The 17,407-nt window shown below is 48.4% G+C and overlaps 1 protein-coding gene and 1 long non-coding RNA gene across 5 annotated transcripts in view; both read left to right on the forward strand.

Annotated features, from left to right (window-relative positions):
* Nucleotides 1-568: 568 nt before the first annotated feature.
* On the forward strand, nt 569-7,446 carry LOC105371459 (uncharacterized). Its single transcript, XR_922186.2, has 3 exons — nt 569-656; nt 4,498-4,600; nt 7,322-7,446. It is a non-coding gene; the product is annotated as an uncharacterized LOC105371459 (long non-coding RNA).
* A 7,461-nt stretch (nt 7,447-14,907) lies between these two features.
* The window catches only part of KIRREL1 (kirre like nephrin family adhesion molecule 1), a 106,618-nt gene continuing 104,118 nt past the window's right edge, over nt 14,908-17,407 (forward strand). For all 4 annotated transcript variants that reach the window (XM_047424310.1, XM_005245305.6, NM_018240.7 and 1 more), the window contains exon 1: nt 14,908-14,991. Coding sequence is in view for 3 of the 4 variants with exons in the window: in XM_005245305.6 (XP_005245362.1) it covers nt 14,940-14,991 (52 nt within the window). In the remaining variant the exon portion in view is untranslated. The remainder of the gene's footprint in view (nt 14,992-17,407) is intronic.

A 17,407-nucleotide genomic window follows, 5' to 3' on the forward strand; every position in this document is an offset into this window, starting at 1 on the left:
CCCCTCCCCGCCATCTGACAGCCCATTGTGTCCACAGAGTTGGGTGGAGTGATTCCGAGGGGAAAAATTCCCTCCTGCTCCGGGAAGTCCACTGGGTCCCCCGGCTCCTCGGTGCTAACTGGGGGCAAGGGGTGGGCGGCTCTGAGGCTGGAGAGGGGCAACAGTCTGGGGGCTGCAGGCCAGGGATTTGCAGCGGCCTCAGCTGGCGGGGCCTCCTCCCCTGCTTTCGCCACCCGGCGCCTCGCCCCTCGACCCCGCGGCAGCTGGGCCCGGGCGCTCTGCTTCCCTCGGCCCTTTGTGGCTCTAGTTTATTTTCCAGTTAATGAAATGGGAGACTGAGTCCCTGCCGCTGCCCCTGGAGACGCCGGAGTTCTGAAGGCATCTCCTCCGCGAGACTCCAGCCTGCTTCCCTGTCCCCTTCCGCCGCCCCAGGCTGCCGTTGGGTCACACCTGCCGAGCATCCGCTCCACACAGGGCCTCAGTCCGCCGGCAGGGAGCGACTGCGATAGGGCCTGGGCCGAGGCCGGTGTTTGCTGGTGTGGGAGGGAAAGCCCTGCGGCCTGGAGGTCTAACTCTGCCATTTGCCCGCTGTGCATCGCCCAGCAAGTCACTCAACACCTCTGAGCCTTTGCTGCACCCTCTGTAAGACATGCCTAGTAAGTGGGACATTGCTCTTCCTTCTGGAGTCAGGGAAGATGAGGGAGACAGATAGAGGAAACAAGCTTTGCAGCCTCCCAGCTGAATAACCGTGGGCAAGTTACCTAGCATTTCTGGGACTTCAGTTCCTTCACATGTAAAATGGAGACAACATAGTCATAGAGGAGTAAATGAGAGAACTCATGTAAAGCCTTGGGACAGTGCTGATGCATAGCAAACTGTCAGGAAAGGTGAAACCATTGTTGTTATTGTAGTTATTATTATTATTATTATTCAACACTACCTTAATAAAATACCAATGCTGGCCGGGCGCGGTGGCTCAAGCCTGTAATCCCAGCACTCTGGGAGGCCGAGGCGGGCAGATCACGAGGTCAGGAGATTGAGACCATCCTGGCTAACACGATGAAATCCCATCTCTACTAAAAACACAAAAAATTAGCTGGGCGTGGTGGCACGCACCTGTAATCCCAGCTACTCGAGAGGCTGAGGCAGGAGAATCGCTTGAACTTGGGAGGCAGAGGTTGCAGTGAGCCGAGATTGCACTCCAGCCTGGGCGACAGAGTGAGACTCCATCAAAAAAAAAAAAAGAAAAAAACAAACAAAAAAACCCAATGCTGTGGACAAAGTTGAATCCAATTTTATGGGGCCTGAAACTTACACTGGTTGGAGGGAGGGTCTCCCATAAAGGAAAAAAAGATAAAAGTATAAATGCAAAATTAGATACATACTTGAAAATTTATTTTTAAAATGCGAAGAGGAATCATAACAAGTTGCAAATTAAAGAGTTGGCAAATCAAAAATCATTTAGAATCCAGAAAAATAACATAGTAATTTATATTAATTAACTGCCTAGCACATTTACATAGTATTTTTTTACTTTTTCTGGCAGCATGCTCTTTGATGGATTCTTCATAATGATTTTGTCATTTTTTTATAGAGAGAGCAGAAAGATAATTTAGTTTTCCTCTAGCATGTTTGATGAAAATTTTTATTATTATTATTATTGATAGTATGTAAAAATGTGTTTCAACGTTAAAATTTTGTGAGGCCGGGCGCGGTGGCTCACACCTGTAATCCCAGCACTTTGGGAGGCCAAGGCGGGCAGATCATGACGTCAGGAGTTCAAGTCCAACTTGGCGAACATGGTGAACCCCATCTCTACTAAAAATACAAAAAAAATTAGCCAGGTGTGATGACACACACCTGTAATCCCAGCTACTGGGGAGTCTGAGGCAGGAGTATCACTTGAACCCAGGAAGCAGAGGTTGCCATGAGCCAAGATCATGCCACTGCACTCCAGCCTGGGCGACAGAGCAAGACTCCATTTAGAGAAAAATAAATAAACAAATAAATAAAAATTGCTCTTGGTAATACCACATATAATTTTAGGGTAGGCCAGGAATGGTGGCTCACACCTGCAATCCCAGAATTTTGGGAGGCTGAGGCGGGAGGATCACTTGAGCCCAGTAGTTTAAGGCTGCAGTGAACTGTGATTGTGCCGCTGCGCTCTATCCTGGACAATAGCAAGACTCTGTTTCTATTAAGAAAAAAAGAAATTAGGATTGTCAGATTTGAAAAAGAAAGCTATGCAAATTTTTTTTCATAATAGAGCTGTAAGATTTCAGGACAGTTCAGTCTTTCTTTTGTAGTAACTAATCTTAAATACTTGTTATAAAGGATAATAGTCAGTCAGTTTGTCCTAGATGTAGTGGTCTATTATGAAGTTTATGAATGTTATTTTTATCAACCCACCAAGAAATTTAGAACTTTTTGCAGTGTATTCCTATGAATTACTCTTCTTCATTAATTGAATTATTAAACAATCCAAGATCTTATTAGAAATCTATCTCTTCCTCTTACTGCAGTATCTCTTTGAGGATAATCTGAGTTTTATGTTACAATTCACTTCTTAATGTCAGAATAATTTCTATCTAACAATTTTATATAAAAATCAATGGGGAACATTTTTGTATGGTATGTTTATAATTGTATATCCCACCTTATTAAACATATTCCTGAGGGGAAAAACTTCCATTTTGATAAAGCACCAGTGAGAACCCAATCCACTGCTTGCAATGTTACATGACTAGTGATTAGGAGAATTTTCCATGGACTGGCTTCTGGCTTCATACAGTTCAAATACTACTTCCAGGTCCAGGCACTAGAGGACATGTTCTTGCTACCATGACCCTCAGGTTCTGAATCTTTATGTCATGATGATACCTGAATCAGTCAGCTCAATGGCTGTAGGAATATTCCTGGAAGCCATTCCTATACCAGAAGTTAGCAACAACTATACATGCAGGTGATCATGGGCCACATCACATACCCCTTTAATCAAACCTAAATGTAGGCTGGGCGAAGTGGCTCAAGCCAGCATTTTGGGAGACCGAGATGGGTGGATCACTTGAGGTCAGGAATTCAAGACCAGCTTGGCCAACATGGTGAAACCCCGTCTCTACTAAAAATACAAAAATTAGCCAGGTATGGTGGCACACTCCTGTAATCCCAGCTACTTGGAGAATTGCTTGGAGAATCCCAGCTACAGGAGAATTGCTTGAACCTGGCAAGTGGAGGTTGCAGTGAGCCGAGATCGCACCATTGCACTCCAGCCTGGGCAACAAGAGCAAAACTCTGTCAAAGAAAGAAAGAAAGAAAGAAAGAGAGAGAGAGAGAGGGAGGAAGGAAGGAAGGAAGGAAGGAAGGAAGGAAGGAAGGAAGGAAGGAAGGAAGGAAGGAAGGAAGGAAGAAAAAAAACCTAAATGTATTTTCAACTCAATTTCCACTTAGGCAGACCCCCAAAACACCCATGGTTCCTTCCCCACCTAATATGAGGGGAGGGGGGGCAGAGAGAAAATTATAATGGAAAGAGACATCAGACTTAATGAACTGTAGTTACAATATCTTACTCTTGCATCTTTTATGCAGAACCACGTGAACATACTAGCAGGGTGCCTCCCAGGGCCTTAGGAGGGCCCTGAATGAGTGAGCTTCATTAACTTTATGATAAGTCTGCCTCCGGTTGTAGACTCCATAATTTCAAGGGCTGTAGAGGTCTCTCTAGTACACCTCCAAAATGCCTCCTTATCAAGTATAAGGGTGTCTATAATTACACTGTCAGAAATGTATTCCCTTGGTTACAGCATTGTGCCAATGCTAGCTCTCTTATAAAATACGCTTTGGTAGGGGGTATGAGGGGAGGCAGGATAGGGAGTTCCTCACATTTTAGTATGAATGCATTCACCAGGAGATGTTTAGAACTGTAGGAGAATTCTCACGGTTGTAGAATAAAGTATCAAGAAAGAGAGACCGTATCACCAAAGGCAAACTTTCTTTACTTCACATTTTGTGTGTAAAGTGGATGTGCTGCGTCCTACAGCCAAATATGGGATTACAAGTGGCCTATGTGAGGAGATAGAGTGAAAGAGAACCCATCTAGCATACAGCATTATTTTTAGTCACTTTTCAATTATGAGCAATAATAGAAAATAATTATTAATAGTATTAATAGCAATTTCTCAACAAAATCACTTTGCTTGGTAAGTATTTTGGATTTTATTGAGTGCTTTAAGCTGCGTGTTGGTGACTTAGTTCAGGCTGAATTGGAGAGACATAATTTTTCTAACTTCCTTTGGCTTGCTTCCCCCGCTGCCCTCTGTCCACACTGCCCAACCTCAGCTTAAGAGATCCTGACTCAGGGACCAGCCTAGCTGAACTCTCCCTACACCTACCCCATCCACCTTGGGTGATTTCCAGGCCACACTTTCCATGAGCTGAGCACTTGGTGATGTGTTTGTGAGAAGGAGAATCTCAGTCCACCTTGCTTCTCTCTCCATTTAGACTCTAAACAGAGGTAGGGGTAAAATCATCTAAGAAAATCCAGGGTCAGAGGAGTGGAGACTGAAGAGGAGAGCCCTTGTTGTGAGCAGCGAGCGGCTGGCAGGTGAGTGTTTATCTCTCTCTGAGCTGACTCTGAGCTTTCTTTTCCCTATGTAAATGAAGCAAGGGAGGTGAAGGCCCCCAGAATACAGACAGGGCCTGGGCTGCCTTTTTCATAGCAGTCATTCTCTGAAAAGTTTCTTCAAAAACTCCACTTTGATAACCCCAGTGCCTGAGCGAGCCGCATTGGAACTCTCTGTGAAGAGGCAGGCTCTCAGCTGGCTGTGTGCAGTGTCTTTGAGAAGAGAATACAAACCCTGGGATATTGGATAGAAATTAGGCTGTGGAACACACAGCCCAAGGTCTCCAGGAATAGAAGAAACATGATGGAGTTTGACACACTGGGTGAGCATCCTGTGGTCACATTCACATACTGTGTGCCTTTGGGCAAGCTGCTTAACCTCTCTCTGCCACAATTCCCCTATACAGAAGTGGGAATGATAATGCCTATCTTGTCATTGTGAAGATTGAAACTAATGCCCATAGCATGTTCAGCATAGTGTCAGACATGTTGGAGATGCTCAAGGAGGACTGGGTTGGCAGGAGGGACAGATATTTGGTTGAAAAAATGTGCCCTGAGCTTCCTCCCTGTGACAGGTCCTGAGCAAACCCTTAGGGAGGAACTAAGATGTGTGGGGAAGGCTTTCAAAGTTTAAGGAGGAAACAAGCTATGTAAATACATGACTGTAATAGTAAACAGGTGGCCTCCAGGAGTGGAGAGTCAGTGGCTTTGGAAAGAGAGAACTAAAAGTCATGCCCTCACATCAGGCAGCTCAGGGAGAATGTCGTGTCTGGGTTGGGACTTGAAGGAGGAGTTTTGACCAGAGATTATGGTAGAAAAATACATCACGTAAAGGGGAAAGCATGAACAAAGAAGTAAGGGAGTAAAAACCTGAAGACTTCAGAGAAGAACTAATACGTTGGAGATTAGGATCCATGTGACATACGTGAATAAAGCTGGAAGGTAACAAAGCTGTCCATGAAGCTAGAAGGTAAGTTAAGGCCAGAGGGTTTGCGTGTCTTGAATGCGCAGCTTAAACGTTCAGAATTCTCCAAAAAGCAAAGAACCATTGCACGTTGTTGAATACATATTTTGGAGGAATGGCTCCGCTTTTCAGAGTAGCCAAGTATCCCCAGAGCAGGTGCCTGGCCCAGCCATCCTGTTTCATCAGAAGAACAAGGAATGTGGCCACCACTGAACAGGGAAATGAGGGAGGGCAGGCAGGGAGAAGTACTAGTGAGTTACACCGTTATAAATACACTTTAGGGCTGTGTGAGTTGGCCATAAATCGCTGCACTGTGCTCAGGTGATGTCACCCGACGCTCGGCTGTATTTATAGCTTTGTTCACTGTTCCCTGGGATTTTTTTTCTTGGCACATTCGAGGTAATATGTGTCTCGCCCCCACACACTCATCCTGAACAACAGAAGATAAACTTTTATGCCACTTCTGCTCATCTTCTCCCAGCTCCTTGGAAGGATGATTTCCTGGACTTACCAAGTGCCTGCTTAGTTGGGAATATCCTCTTGCAGTTCAATTGCTAGCCCCCTGGCTTTGTACTCTGAAATGGAGCTCAGCCTCCTCTCTACTCCAGTAAATCCTTTGTGGAACTCAGAATCAGAAATATCTCCCTTTTTGCCAGGCACTCTGGTAACAACAGTGAACAACACCAGTACAGGCTCTACCTGCACAGGGCTTATGATCAAGCATGGAAAACAGACATTGAATACTTAATTAGAAGGGAGATGAATGTTACTAGTGGAAATAGAAGGTGCTTGAAGGCAATAACAAGGTGATCTAGCTTGTCTGGAGGAATTAGAGAGGCTTCCATGGAGAAGTGACATTTAGTGTGAGGTCTGAGGGATGAGTAGGACTTAGCTTAAGGGGCGAGGTTGGGATAGACCCTGGGCGGAAAGAACATTGCAGGCAAGAGAACCCCATGTGCCGAGACCCCAAACAATGAGAGAAATATGGCCAGTCCCTAGAACTTAGAGAAGCCAGGTGGAGTTGGAGTGTAAAGGATAAGAAGGGGAGTGGAGAGCAGTGGGGTTGGGAGGGAAGGCCAACGTACCCCAGGCAGGCTCTAGGAACCAACGGGAAGGTGCTGTATCTGATCCTAAGGGCAATGAGAGCCCCAATCAGTTTTAAGCAGGAGAGTAATGTGGTCAAATTTGAGCTGGAGAAAAATTATTAGGCTTGGGCTCATGCAGAAAGGCCTTGCTGGTGTTGAGGCAGGAGATAATACACATGGAGCAGGCTGGTGACAATGAAGATGGATGCAAATTAGGCCACTACCTGAGAAAGCCAATCCACAGGATTTGGAGACTGTTTGAATGTGAATGGGGATGGAGAAAGTATGTACTCGCAGATGTCTGGTCTGAACAATAGGATGGAGGTTGGTGCCATTCTTGAAAGAGGACTGCTGAAGGAGTAGCCAGGGTTGGTTGTTGCTTCATTTTGTTTTTTACTTGGGGGACAACATTTTCCTCTGAATTTGCTTTCCTCTGGATCTATTCCCAAAGCCTAGACTAGGGCTTTGCATGAGGAGGACCTATGGATGGGGGAAGCATTGAGGCTCATGGCTAAGGGCTAGTAGAAAAGGGGAAACTGCCAATGCCTGCAAGAGGTGACTTGGTACCAGGACCTGTTTGCTGGCTGTATCTTGGAAGCTGGAACAGAAGCACTGGAGAGATAGTAAACCAACATTCTCCATCTGTCCATTTAGGAAATGCCACCTGAGCCAGCAGCCAGACCCTGCCTGGCAGGTACCACGAGGCCTGTTCCCTGGCACAGAAGCCAGAAAGCCAGTGGAAGTAGAGAGGAGTTCCATTGTCCTGGAGCTTGGCTGTCACAGGTAGGAAGGCACCAAGTCAGGTGAAAGGAGTGGGAGTCAGAAAATTGGTCCCCAACTCTGGACCTGGGGAAGAATCTTGGCTCTGGTTCCTTGAGAGGAAATGAGCCAAAGTTTCCAGAAGTAGTTCTCAAACACAGAGAATTTACAGAATACCCTATGGGCCCTGATGGAACCCACTAAAAGGCATCCCCAGGGAATATCTCATAACTCAATATTAGAGACAAAGAATATTACAGTACCATGGGGGCATCAGAGTTAGCAGGAAATTGAGGCCAGAGAGGGGAGCTATCTAATCTAAAGCCACACTCAGACTCTAAAGATCCTGAATCTCCATTTCTAGGAAACTTTTCTTGATGCCTGCAAGCTGAGTTGAGTAACTTCTGTTTTGCACTAAAAAAAAAAGCATTTTTCTATATGCACTTCCCACCTCTGTTGTAATTATCTGTCTGTATTTACCACTAGACAATGAGCTTTTGGAAAACAAGGGGGTGTGCTTCATTCTTCTTTATATCCCACGTGCTTCACCCAGTGCCTGGCAGAGAGTGAGCTTTTAATACATGTTTGTGGGATGAATAGACGAATGAATTGGGTGAATGGTCTAATTACTTAATTAATCTCAACCAAAACCCTTAGCAAATCTCTACTGGGGGTTATAACGGTTGGAGTGACATTGTTAAGAGTTGTGCTTTAAGTTAACGGGCTCTCTTATAGTTAAGGTTAAGTAAACTTAGCCCTTATATTTCCGCTCATATGAACCTTATTTAATTTCACTCTTCAACTGCCATGATGTTCAGTGTCCTTAATAGAACTTCAGGCCATAATCCTAGCTGCAAACTCAATCTCATCTCTAGCTTGGATGAAAACATAAACCATAACCCTCTAAACCAGTTCTGATACTAAATGAATCTAATGAATGGGTGGTTTTAGGTGTTCAAGGAAGCACTGGGGAATGTTAAAGGCCAAGAAACTCTGGGCTTGGGGACAGAATCCAAGAAAACTAAAACCAAGAGCCAAAGGAAGATGAGAGACTTCTCCCTTTTCCTCAGTATCCCTTGCTTCCTGCTCACTTTATTCTCTGATTTCCAGACCCCTTACAGAAGACTACAGCCACATAATGGTCAGAGCCGTTTAGGTATCAGGAGTGTCTTTGCTGATAAAAGCATTTGGAATGAGACTGGGGTGCAAGGGTGGGAAAGATGGAGTTAGTGAGATACATAGGTGAATCCTGGCCTGAGAGGCCTGGGTTCTAGTCCCAGGTCTACTGTGCCTTCCCTTGCGACCTTTGACAGACCATTTTGCCACTCTAAGGGAAATGAACTTCATGCTGTCTCCAGTTGTGCAGCTTCCCATTTGAGTTATTAATTCATTATTACTGTCTCCATTTTTTCCAAAAAGTCTATTTCCCACTGCCCTCCCCCCCACACACGTACCCACTCCCCATCTCAACGCCTCTGCGCAGAGTTGCTGAATGCTAACACTCTTCTTTTTTCTGAACAGGTCTCCTGAACCAGGCTACTCATTGGAAGCAGGGATCTTCCAATCCCCGTGACTCAGGCAATGAGACATCCATTAAGCCTAATAAGAGATAACTGGTTCATTTAGTACAAATTGCCCTCCCCCCGACACTTCCCCTGCCCTATTGGAGCTGGAATATGAAGCAATGGAAGGGGAAGGGCTGAAAATGGGTGGTGTGGAATGGATCCCAGTCATTCGCAGGCAATGCTGGCACACGGTGGATATATACACCGGGAACCCGTCTTTGCCAAGGTCATTCTTTCTAAGCCCCTGCCTCTGAGCAACTTCAACCCACCCAAAACATTTCTCCCTAAATATTTTGGATACTTCTCAGTAGACAGTCCTTTATGGTGGCTAGCCTCTGGTCTTTCTCCTTCAATAGCAGCACTGCTTCCTAAGTGTCCTCTGACACCCATGCCCCATCCATGGAGCCTGACCTCCTTCGTCTACCATCTTCCCCTTCTGTAGGAGGCCTAAGATGGCCACTTAACCCCACTGCTGTCCAGGGTACCTAGTTTCTGTTGCGTGTCTTACTGGCATCCTCATGTCTTAATGTATCAGGGATCTGGGCTTCCTTGGAATATCTTCTTTGCTCTGCACAGATGTCAGAGAGGGTGAACAACTATCATTTCAACTGCTGAGACCCCTGTTCCTTGGCAAGATATCAAGCATAGGTGGCAAAACTGAGATGAGGAAACGCCAGTCCCCAGGCCCAGAATTCTTCTTCACTTTTTTTACAGGGCCAGATACTCTTTACAGAGAGGCCAGCCTAGCTGGACCCAGGCTCAAGGCCCCCTGGCCACTAAGGAGAGGTCTGGGGTACTTAGACTGATGCTGTCTTTCCTCTTGCCCCACTCTCCCCTCAGATTGCAGATTAAAGACTTTTTCCACTGCCATATGGCGGTCCCCTGCCCCTGCCCTTTTTCTTGTACATCTCAAAAGCTGGGCAACTTAAGGAAAAGGAGCAGAAGAGAAATAAACTGGTATAATAGCAGGAAATCTCAAGGCTGAATATCTGGAAGGACTTATGCAGTACCTGGGCTGTGAGATACAAAAGTGGAGAAGGGATGAAGAGCCCCCTTTGCTGGGAGGACTTTGGAAGAAGGGGTACATCTCTCACTCTCACTGCTCTGGGCTATAGTCTGCAGCAGGGGAAGAGACAAGGTGACCTCTGGTGATCCCTTGCCCTTGGGGACTCAAGGTTTCCTTTAAGGTCAGGATTATTTTCCAAGCTGAGAATAAGGATCTCACCCTTTCTCTCCTCTGTCTCTGGTAAGCAGCAGGGACACAATACTCCACCTCTCTAGGGGGGAAAAGGACAATTTATAGAATTGTTCTGCTGTTCTTAGCCCTCATTGAGACAAAGAATTCATTTCTGTCTCTCAAGGTGGCTTCTCCTGCTTATGGTCATAAATTGCCTTCCTGCTCACTCCCTGACCTCTTGATCTTTTTGCTTTTGTGCTAAAAAAAATTATTAATATTTCTCTTAACTCCATATATAACCTTTGGCTGTTTCTCTCCTTTATTCTAGGTGAAGTAGCATCCTTAGGGATTACTTCCTCCGCCTTCGCGCCTGCCTGCTTCTGTTGGGGCAGGGCTCTGTGCATGAGGATGAAGACAAATCTACAGGAGGAAGATTCAAAAGATCTCTGTTTGGGGAAGCTCTAAAACTGAAAAATAATCACAGCTAACATTTACTGAGCATATGCTGCATGCCTAGTATTGTTCTAAGGGCTGTATGGATATGAACTCAATCCTCACAACTACCCCATAATGTAACTACTATTATTATCCCTGTTTTCATATGAAAAAAACAAGAACTAGAGAGGTTAGCTACATAAAATGTCCAAGGTCACACAGAAAGGAAGGGAAAGAACCTAGATTTGAATCCCTGTCTGGTTTCAGGGCCCATGTGCTTTGCTGTCAACTACTCTGCAAGGTACCTCTCTGATAGGGAGGGACTTACCCAGCTTTCGCTCTACCCTCAGGGAGCTCCAGAATGGTGTGACATGCATATTCCTTGCCCCTCAAGAATCCCCAAGTTTGATAGGGGAGGCAGATATCCTGTCCTAGGAAGATATGTCCAGTCTGATGGAAAAGACACAAGCTTTATCTTTGGATCATCTGACTAATACTAGGGACTCAGCCCCAGGATGTCTACAGTTTGATGAGTTATGTTATTAGATTCTAAGAGACTCAGTTAATTCGACTAGACAAAATTGTGAGCCTTAGTGTTAAAGAGACGAGGATGGAGCAAAGTTAGGGCAGCTTAATTGGGGTTGCCCCAGGAGGGGAGGGTGATACAAGATTGGCAATAAGCAGAAGAAATGCTAGTGGAGATAAGAGGGCAGGACACTTGTGTGGTGTGCAGACTTGCTGAAGACAATGTCTGGAAAGCAGGGGTTTGCTTAGTTTAGCAGCTCTCTACCTTGGCTGTCTACTAGAATCACCTGGAGCTATGTCTAAAAATACTGATGCTTGAACTTCACCCCAGAACAATTAATCTTTAGGGATGAGGGCATGGCACTGGTGTTTTTAAACAGCCCTCAGGGCAGGGCATGGTGGCTCATGCCTGTAACCACAGCACTTTGGGAGGCTGAGGCGGGTGGATCACCTGAGATCAGGAGTTCGAGACCAGCTTGGCCAACATGGCGAAATGCTGTCTCTACTAAAAATACAAAAACTACCCAGGCATGGTGGCACACACCTGTAATCCCAGCTACTTGGGAGGCTGTGGCAGGAGAATCACTTGAACCCGGGAGGCGGAGGTTACAGTGAGCTGAGATCATGCCACGGCACTCCAGCCCAGGTGACAGATCTAAACTCCATCTCAAAAAATTAAAAAATAATAATAATAAAATTAAAGGCCCTCAGGAGGTGCTATGCACAACTGGTGTTGAGGACCACTGGCTGGGGATGAGGTCTATGGTGTCTTAAGCTCTGAGATCTGGGATGCTGGATGACTTATGTGGAAGAAATTCTAGAGACATGAGTTTGCTATGAACTGAGCTGGTGAAGATTTGGAATTAAAGGAAAGGGGGAGGGAAAAGAAAAGCTAAAGGACCAGAGGAGACAGGCCAGATTGTTGTTTTCGCTGTTAGTGAGCTAGAGAAACTTGGTTCCTCTGTTTCTAGGCTTTTGAGGCAAAATAAAAGGCCCACAAAAATCCAAAAGGTCTGATAACCCAGTCCCTTCTCATAAAAAGAATAGCTATCAAGCCTGATATCAGACATGGAGATTAGGCAGGAAACACTGAGCTAAGAATATTCCCTTCCTTCGATTAAAGACCTTTTTTTTTAAATTAATGCTCTCCTAGGCCGAGTGTGGTGGCTCACACCTGTAACCCCAGTACTTTGGGAGGCCGAGGCAGGCAAATCACTTGAGGTCAGCAGTTCAAGACCAGCCTGGCCAACATGGTGAAACCCCATCTCTACTAAAAATACAGAAATTAGCTGGGCATGGTGGCGGGTGCCTGTAATCCCAGCTACTCAAGAGGCTGAGGCAGGAGAATCGCTTGAACCCAGGAGATGGAGGTTGCAGTGAGCCAAGATCATGCCACTACACTCCAGCCTGGGTGACAGAGTGCAACTCCTTCAAAAAAAAAAAAGAAAGAAAAGAAAAGAAAAGAAAACACACACACACCAAAAATAATACTTTCCTAAGTCAGGGTCACCCTCGCCTTCCCCTCCATACACCATCATGTGGAGTGGAAAGGAGAAAAGGCTGTCTCGCTGACATGTCCGGAGCTCCCTACCTCAGGGTTTTTGCCTTTGCTGCTACCATCTTCCTGCTGCATTCTTCCCTCAGACGCCTGAGCAGCTAAACCCTCAGTTCCTTCAGGTCTGTGCCCAAATGTGGCTGTAGCAGAACAGCTTTCTTTGATTACCTGTAAGAACAGTAATTCCTCCCTCTCTCCCTCTCCCTAATCTTTTATCCTGCTTTATTTGTCCCCCATAGCATTTACCATAACCTAGTATATTTCATATTTTTTTCTACTGCCTCTGACTTTCCTCCAGAATGGAACATTAAAGGGAAAGACTTTGTCCTTTTTTTTTTATTATTATTGTCTCCCCAAAGCCTAGAATGGTGACTGGAAAATAGCAGTCTGGAGCTGAAAAAATATCTGTGGAATGTATGATTAATGAATGAACAAATGAAAAGCCTTATGTGTCTGTGTGTTGGTGTCTTTCTGTGTACGTTTGGGATTGCAGTCCTATTTCTCTGGCCAAAGTATGGCTCTATTCTTAAGCTGTGCTTGCCTGTGTTTTGGAATATATGAAGAATTCTCTGGGTCTGTGCATATGGGGCTTCTGCATATGAGCTTGGGTGTTTTCCTGCCTTTCTCTGTCTTCTAATTGTGTGTGGATGCGTCTGGACCACAGGCTGGTGTTAGTATCTGCGGAGGAAAGAGGAGCTGTGGCCGCTACACATCAACAGAGGGCACCAGAGAGCCACGCACCTACTTTCAGGGGCAGAAATTGAGAAAACTTGGCGGGGAGTGTTAGAGACCCAGGAGATCTGGGATCTGGGAGGAAAGAAGTGGAGACCTCTTTGGACCAACACATTACTGTAAAATTGTGCAATTCCAGCAACTTCTCTGTCCATTCCCTAGGGTCCAGACCTCTGGCTACCCGAGCAATCCTGTGAGCAGAAGTATCTGGTCAGGGGTGAGAAGAGGAGCTGGTTGCCAAACTGGGCCCTTAAGAAAGTGGAGATCCCTCCTGAATGCTCTCATGATTCTCAGGAATTCCCTTCCTTCCTAGTTCCTCCATGTCCCTACCCCAAAAGATCTCAAACTCCAGCGTGCTTAGAGATCTGACTGGTGGCTGTCTTCTCCTCTGGCTTGCATTCAGGGAGGTGAGGCCAGGTCTTGGCCCTTCAAAGCCATCCAGTTGGCTACCTTCTCCTTCGGGATGGGTGGAAGGCTAAGATGAACAAAGGAAGGGTCAACTGTGCCTCTTCCAGGCCGCTGAGTCCTCCAACGCCTAGCTGTGCTCAACCTTGACTGGGTGAAGCCAAGGCAGGGCCTCAAGGCAGGTCCAAGAGGCAGCTCCCATTCTCCAGTTCTGGGTTTTATAGGTGGGGAGAGGCATGTATGCCCCTCCCTTATCCAAGCATTCATTAGTCAATTGAGAATTCTTAATTTGGGGAATCTAGGGGCTAGACTTTGGGTGTGGAATTTAAAAAGAAAGGTCTTTATGTTTATTTAACTCCCTGCCCCCCACCCCACTCCTAGACACACACACGGAAACACACACACACACACACACACACACACACTCCCCATCACATCCTCTGAGCTAGAGGCTGATGTCCCTCAGCCCATGTTCCTCCTCCACTGCTTAGTTCCATAGCCCGCGACCAAGATTGCGTCTATAAATAGGAGGGGGTGGGGTGGCCAGGGGTCCCGTCGTGCCTGCCCCAGAACCCACGACGGTCACATTTTTCACCCCCTTTTGCCTTTGCCCTCAATTCCTTTCCCTCTTTGCTCTCCTTCCATCTCAGTTCCAGCGAGGGGGGTATGTGTGTGCGCGCGTTGTGGGGGGGCAGGGGGAGGGCTCGTGGAGGGAGGCGCCGTCGGAGGGAGAGTAGACGTCAGGCGGAGGGAGGGAGGCAGGCAGGCAGGGAGGCAGGGAGGGAGAGAGGGAAGGAAGAGAAGGGGAGAGAAAGGGGGAGCAAAGACCGAAAGAGACCCAGAGAGATACAGCTTGAGAGGAGAAATAATTAAAGGGGGAGGGCGACCAGGAGGAGAAAAAGGTCTGGGAGGAAAGAGAGATAAAGAGAATCGGAGGGCAGGGAAATGAGTTTGTGCGCGTGAGTGTGCGCGCGCGCGTGTGTGTGTGCAGGGGCGGGCGCGGGCGGGCGGGGGGCGGGCTCCCGGGCTCCCGGGCTCCCCTCCTCCCCAGCCCGCTCCTCTGGCTCGCTCGCCAACTCCGGGCCCCAGCCGCGGGCGGGCGCACGGCGGGCGGACAGCATGCTGAGCCTCCTCGTCTGGATCCTCACTCTCTCCGATACTTTCTCCCAAGGTAAGGGCCCCCAGCCCACCCCCGGACGCTCGGCTTCCCCCCGGGGCCGGGGCACTGCTTCCCCGGTGGGAGAGTGCTGGAGTGCCCCGCGGCCCGCGGCCAGTCCCCGGGTCCGGACGCCACGAGGCGGGGGCTCGGTCCGGGCGCAGAGCCCTGGGGGAGGGGGCGCGGAGTAACGAGGGGCTGGGGAGAATGAGTTTGCCGTTGATTTGCCCAAGTTGTTTCCTCTGGCTGCGCGGGAGAACCGAGCAATGGGGCCGCGAGGGCTGGAGGTCCGAGTAAAACGGGGAACCGAACGCTTTCTCTTGAGCTTCTGGCAGCCCTACCGACCCTCGCCCTCTGAGGCCGGGGTTCCGGACGCCTGAGTCCAGCCTAAGGGCAAGGCTGGGAAGAGGGTGGGATTTCGGATTTCGGGCGAGGGGGTGAGCGAAAAGCTGGGTCCCACCTCCCGAAGATGTTGCCAAGGGGATCCCCCTACTCCAGCCCAGCCCCTCGGGGGTCTGAGTCTGAATCACGGCTCCAGCCTGCCTGGGGCTGCCCCCTCTAGAGGAAGGGAGGGGTGTCTCGGCGCCTCTAGTGGGGATTTGGAACCCCTGCCCACGGAGGCTCTGGGTGGAGAGTGGAGTTCCACATACAGCTTCAGGCCCGCTTGATACAGAGGGGGGGAACTCACGGGGGCGGGGGCAGAGGCGGTGGGGGGAGGGGGCTGACACTCTACTTGGGCTCAGGAAAGTGTTGCTGTCTGGGGCTTATTTGACACTGGCAGGGGAGAGGCTGGGAGGTGAGGGAGGTGGTTGGGAGAGATGAGGATGTCAGTGTATCCTGGGCAGGGCTGGGGTTGGGGGAGGGAAGAGGGCTGAGGGAACCAAGGGTCCAGACTGCAGCAGGGACTGGGGTCTGTGGGAGTTGGTTCTTGCCTCCCAGGTCTGACTCTAAGGAAGACTGAATCCTGCTGAACTCCTTCCCTCCCCAAAAATGGAGCTGACACACAGAAATTGACACACAAACACCGTAAAACACTCACAGACACTGAGACAGACTACTCACCTACTGAGAGAGAGACATCCCCACAAACATCCCCCACACTGAGACAGACACATATACACAAAGACACGGAGACATCTGAGGAAGACAGATTCCTCCCCCAGATCGGCACACACTCACGCATTCATCCACCCGAACGTTACAACTATACACAGTACATGTATGCAGGCGTTTACAAGGACAGGACACACGCTCTCACAGAAACCAACCCTCTAGCAAACAAAGAAACTTGAACAGACATTCATATGGGCAGACACCTATGGAGATGTACAGACTGCAGATGGAGGAGGTGTCCTCTTTTAGGGGGTGTCTGGGAATGGATCTGGGTAGAACAGCCTCAGGCATTATTGCCCTGCTTTCTGTTCCCTTCCTGCGTTTGTAGGTGGTGTGTTATGCTGGACCTTTCCTCTCCTTGTCGGGTCTCTTCCCAGTTCCGAAGGCAAAGCCTGGCTGAGTTGGTGGGGGCACGTCTTGATTCATTTCTCCCCACAGGGCACCCATGCCAGCCCCCCAGCACACACTATGATATGGGAAGGGCACACATCTGTGGTGTGAGCCAGGAGTGGGAGGTGGTGCTAGGGGAAAGGAGGAGGCCTGGCCCTGGGGTTGGCAGGCCAGGCCAGCCACTTGGCAGAAAGTTGGGAAGATGACTTAAGTTCTGACTTTGTTCAGCCAGGCTGTTGGTGTCGGGGAGGAAGGGGGTGGGCCATGGTGGTGGTGGAGGGGGGTCATGTTGGTGGTGGAGGAGGCCCCTGGGTCAGTATTGGTCTATGTTGGGGGCAAGCTTATGTCTGTCCCTTTCTTACAGCCCTTACATGTCAGCATCATGGATACAAATGAGTGTTAAGGAACAAAAGCAGCAGTTAGCAAACAGGAGAGACATGTGGATTGAATTGGGGACAGAAAGAATTGTGTGTTGTGTGCCTTTCTCTCTTTGGAAAGGAGCGAGTGGCTAGGGAATGCTGAGCTCCCACTTCTCTGCTCCAACAGGGGTGAAAGCAGGACCTGGTGAAAGTGTCTGGGGTTGGGGGAGAGGATACCAGAGAAAAGAAAGGGAGAGACTAGACAGGAGGGGAGGGGAAATCACTAGTGAGTGTTGGGGGAAGCTTGGCAAGGGACTGGGGAGGAGGCAGAGAGGGAAGGAGTAGGGGTCTGGGGAGACTGGGACACACATGGGGGTGGAGAGCTTGGCAGGACCCCCTTTCCTTAGCCTCCATCCTCAGAAAGGAGCTCTAGGTCAGGGACTGGGGCAGTGAGAGAGGAAACGGAGGGGGGCGCTACAAAAGGGAGGAGGAATGATGGTGGGGGAATAGGGATGGGGGAGTAGGTGTCAGCAGGAAGCCATAGAATTGAGGGGAGCAGAGAGGAGAGG

Source organism: Homo sapiens, chromosome 1 (assembly GCF_000001405.40).
Source record: "Homo sapiens chromosome 1, GRCh38.p14 Primary Assembly".
Classification (NCBI taxonomy): Eukaryota; Metazoa; Chordata; class Mammalia; order Primates; family Hominidae; genus Homo; species Homo sapiens.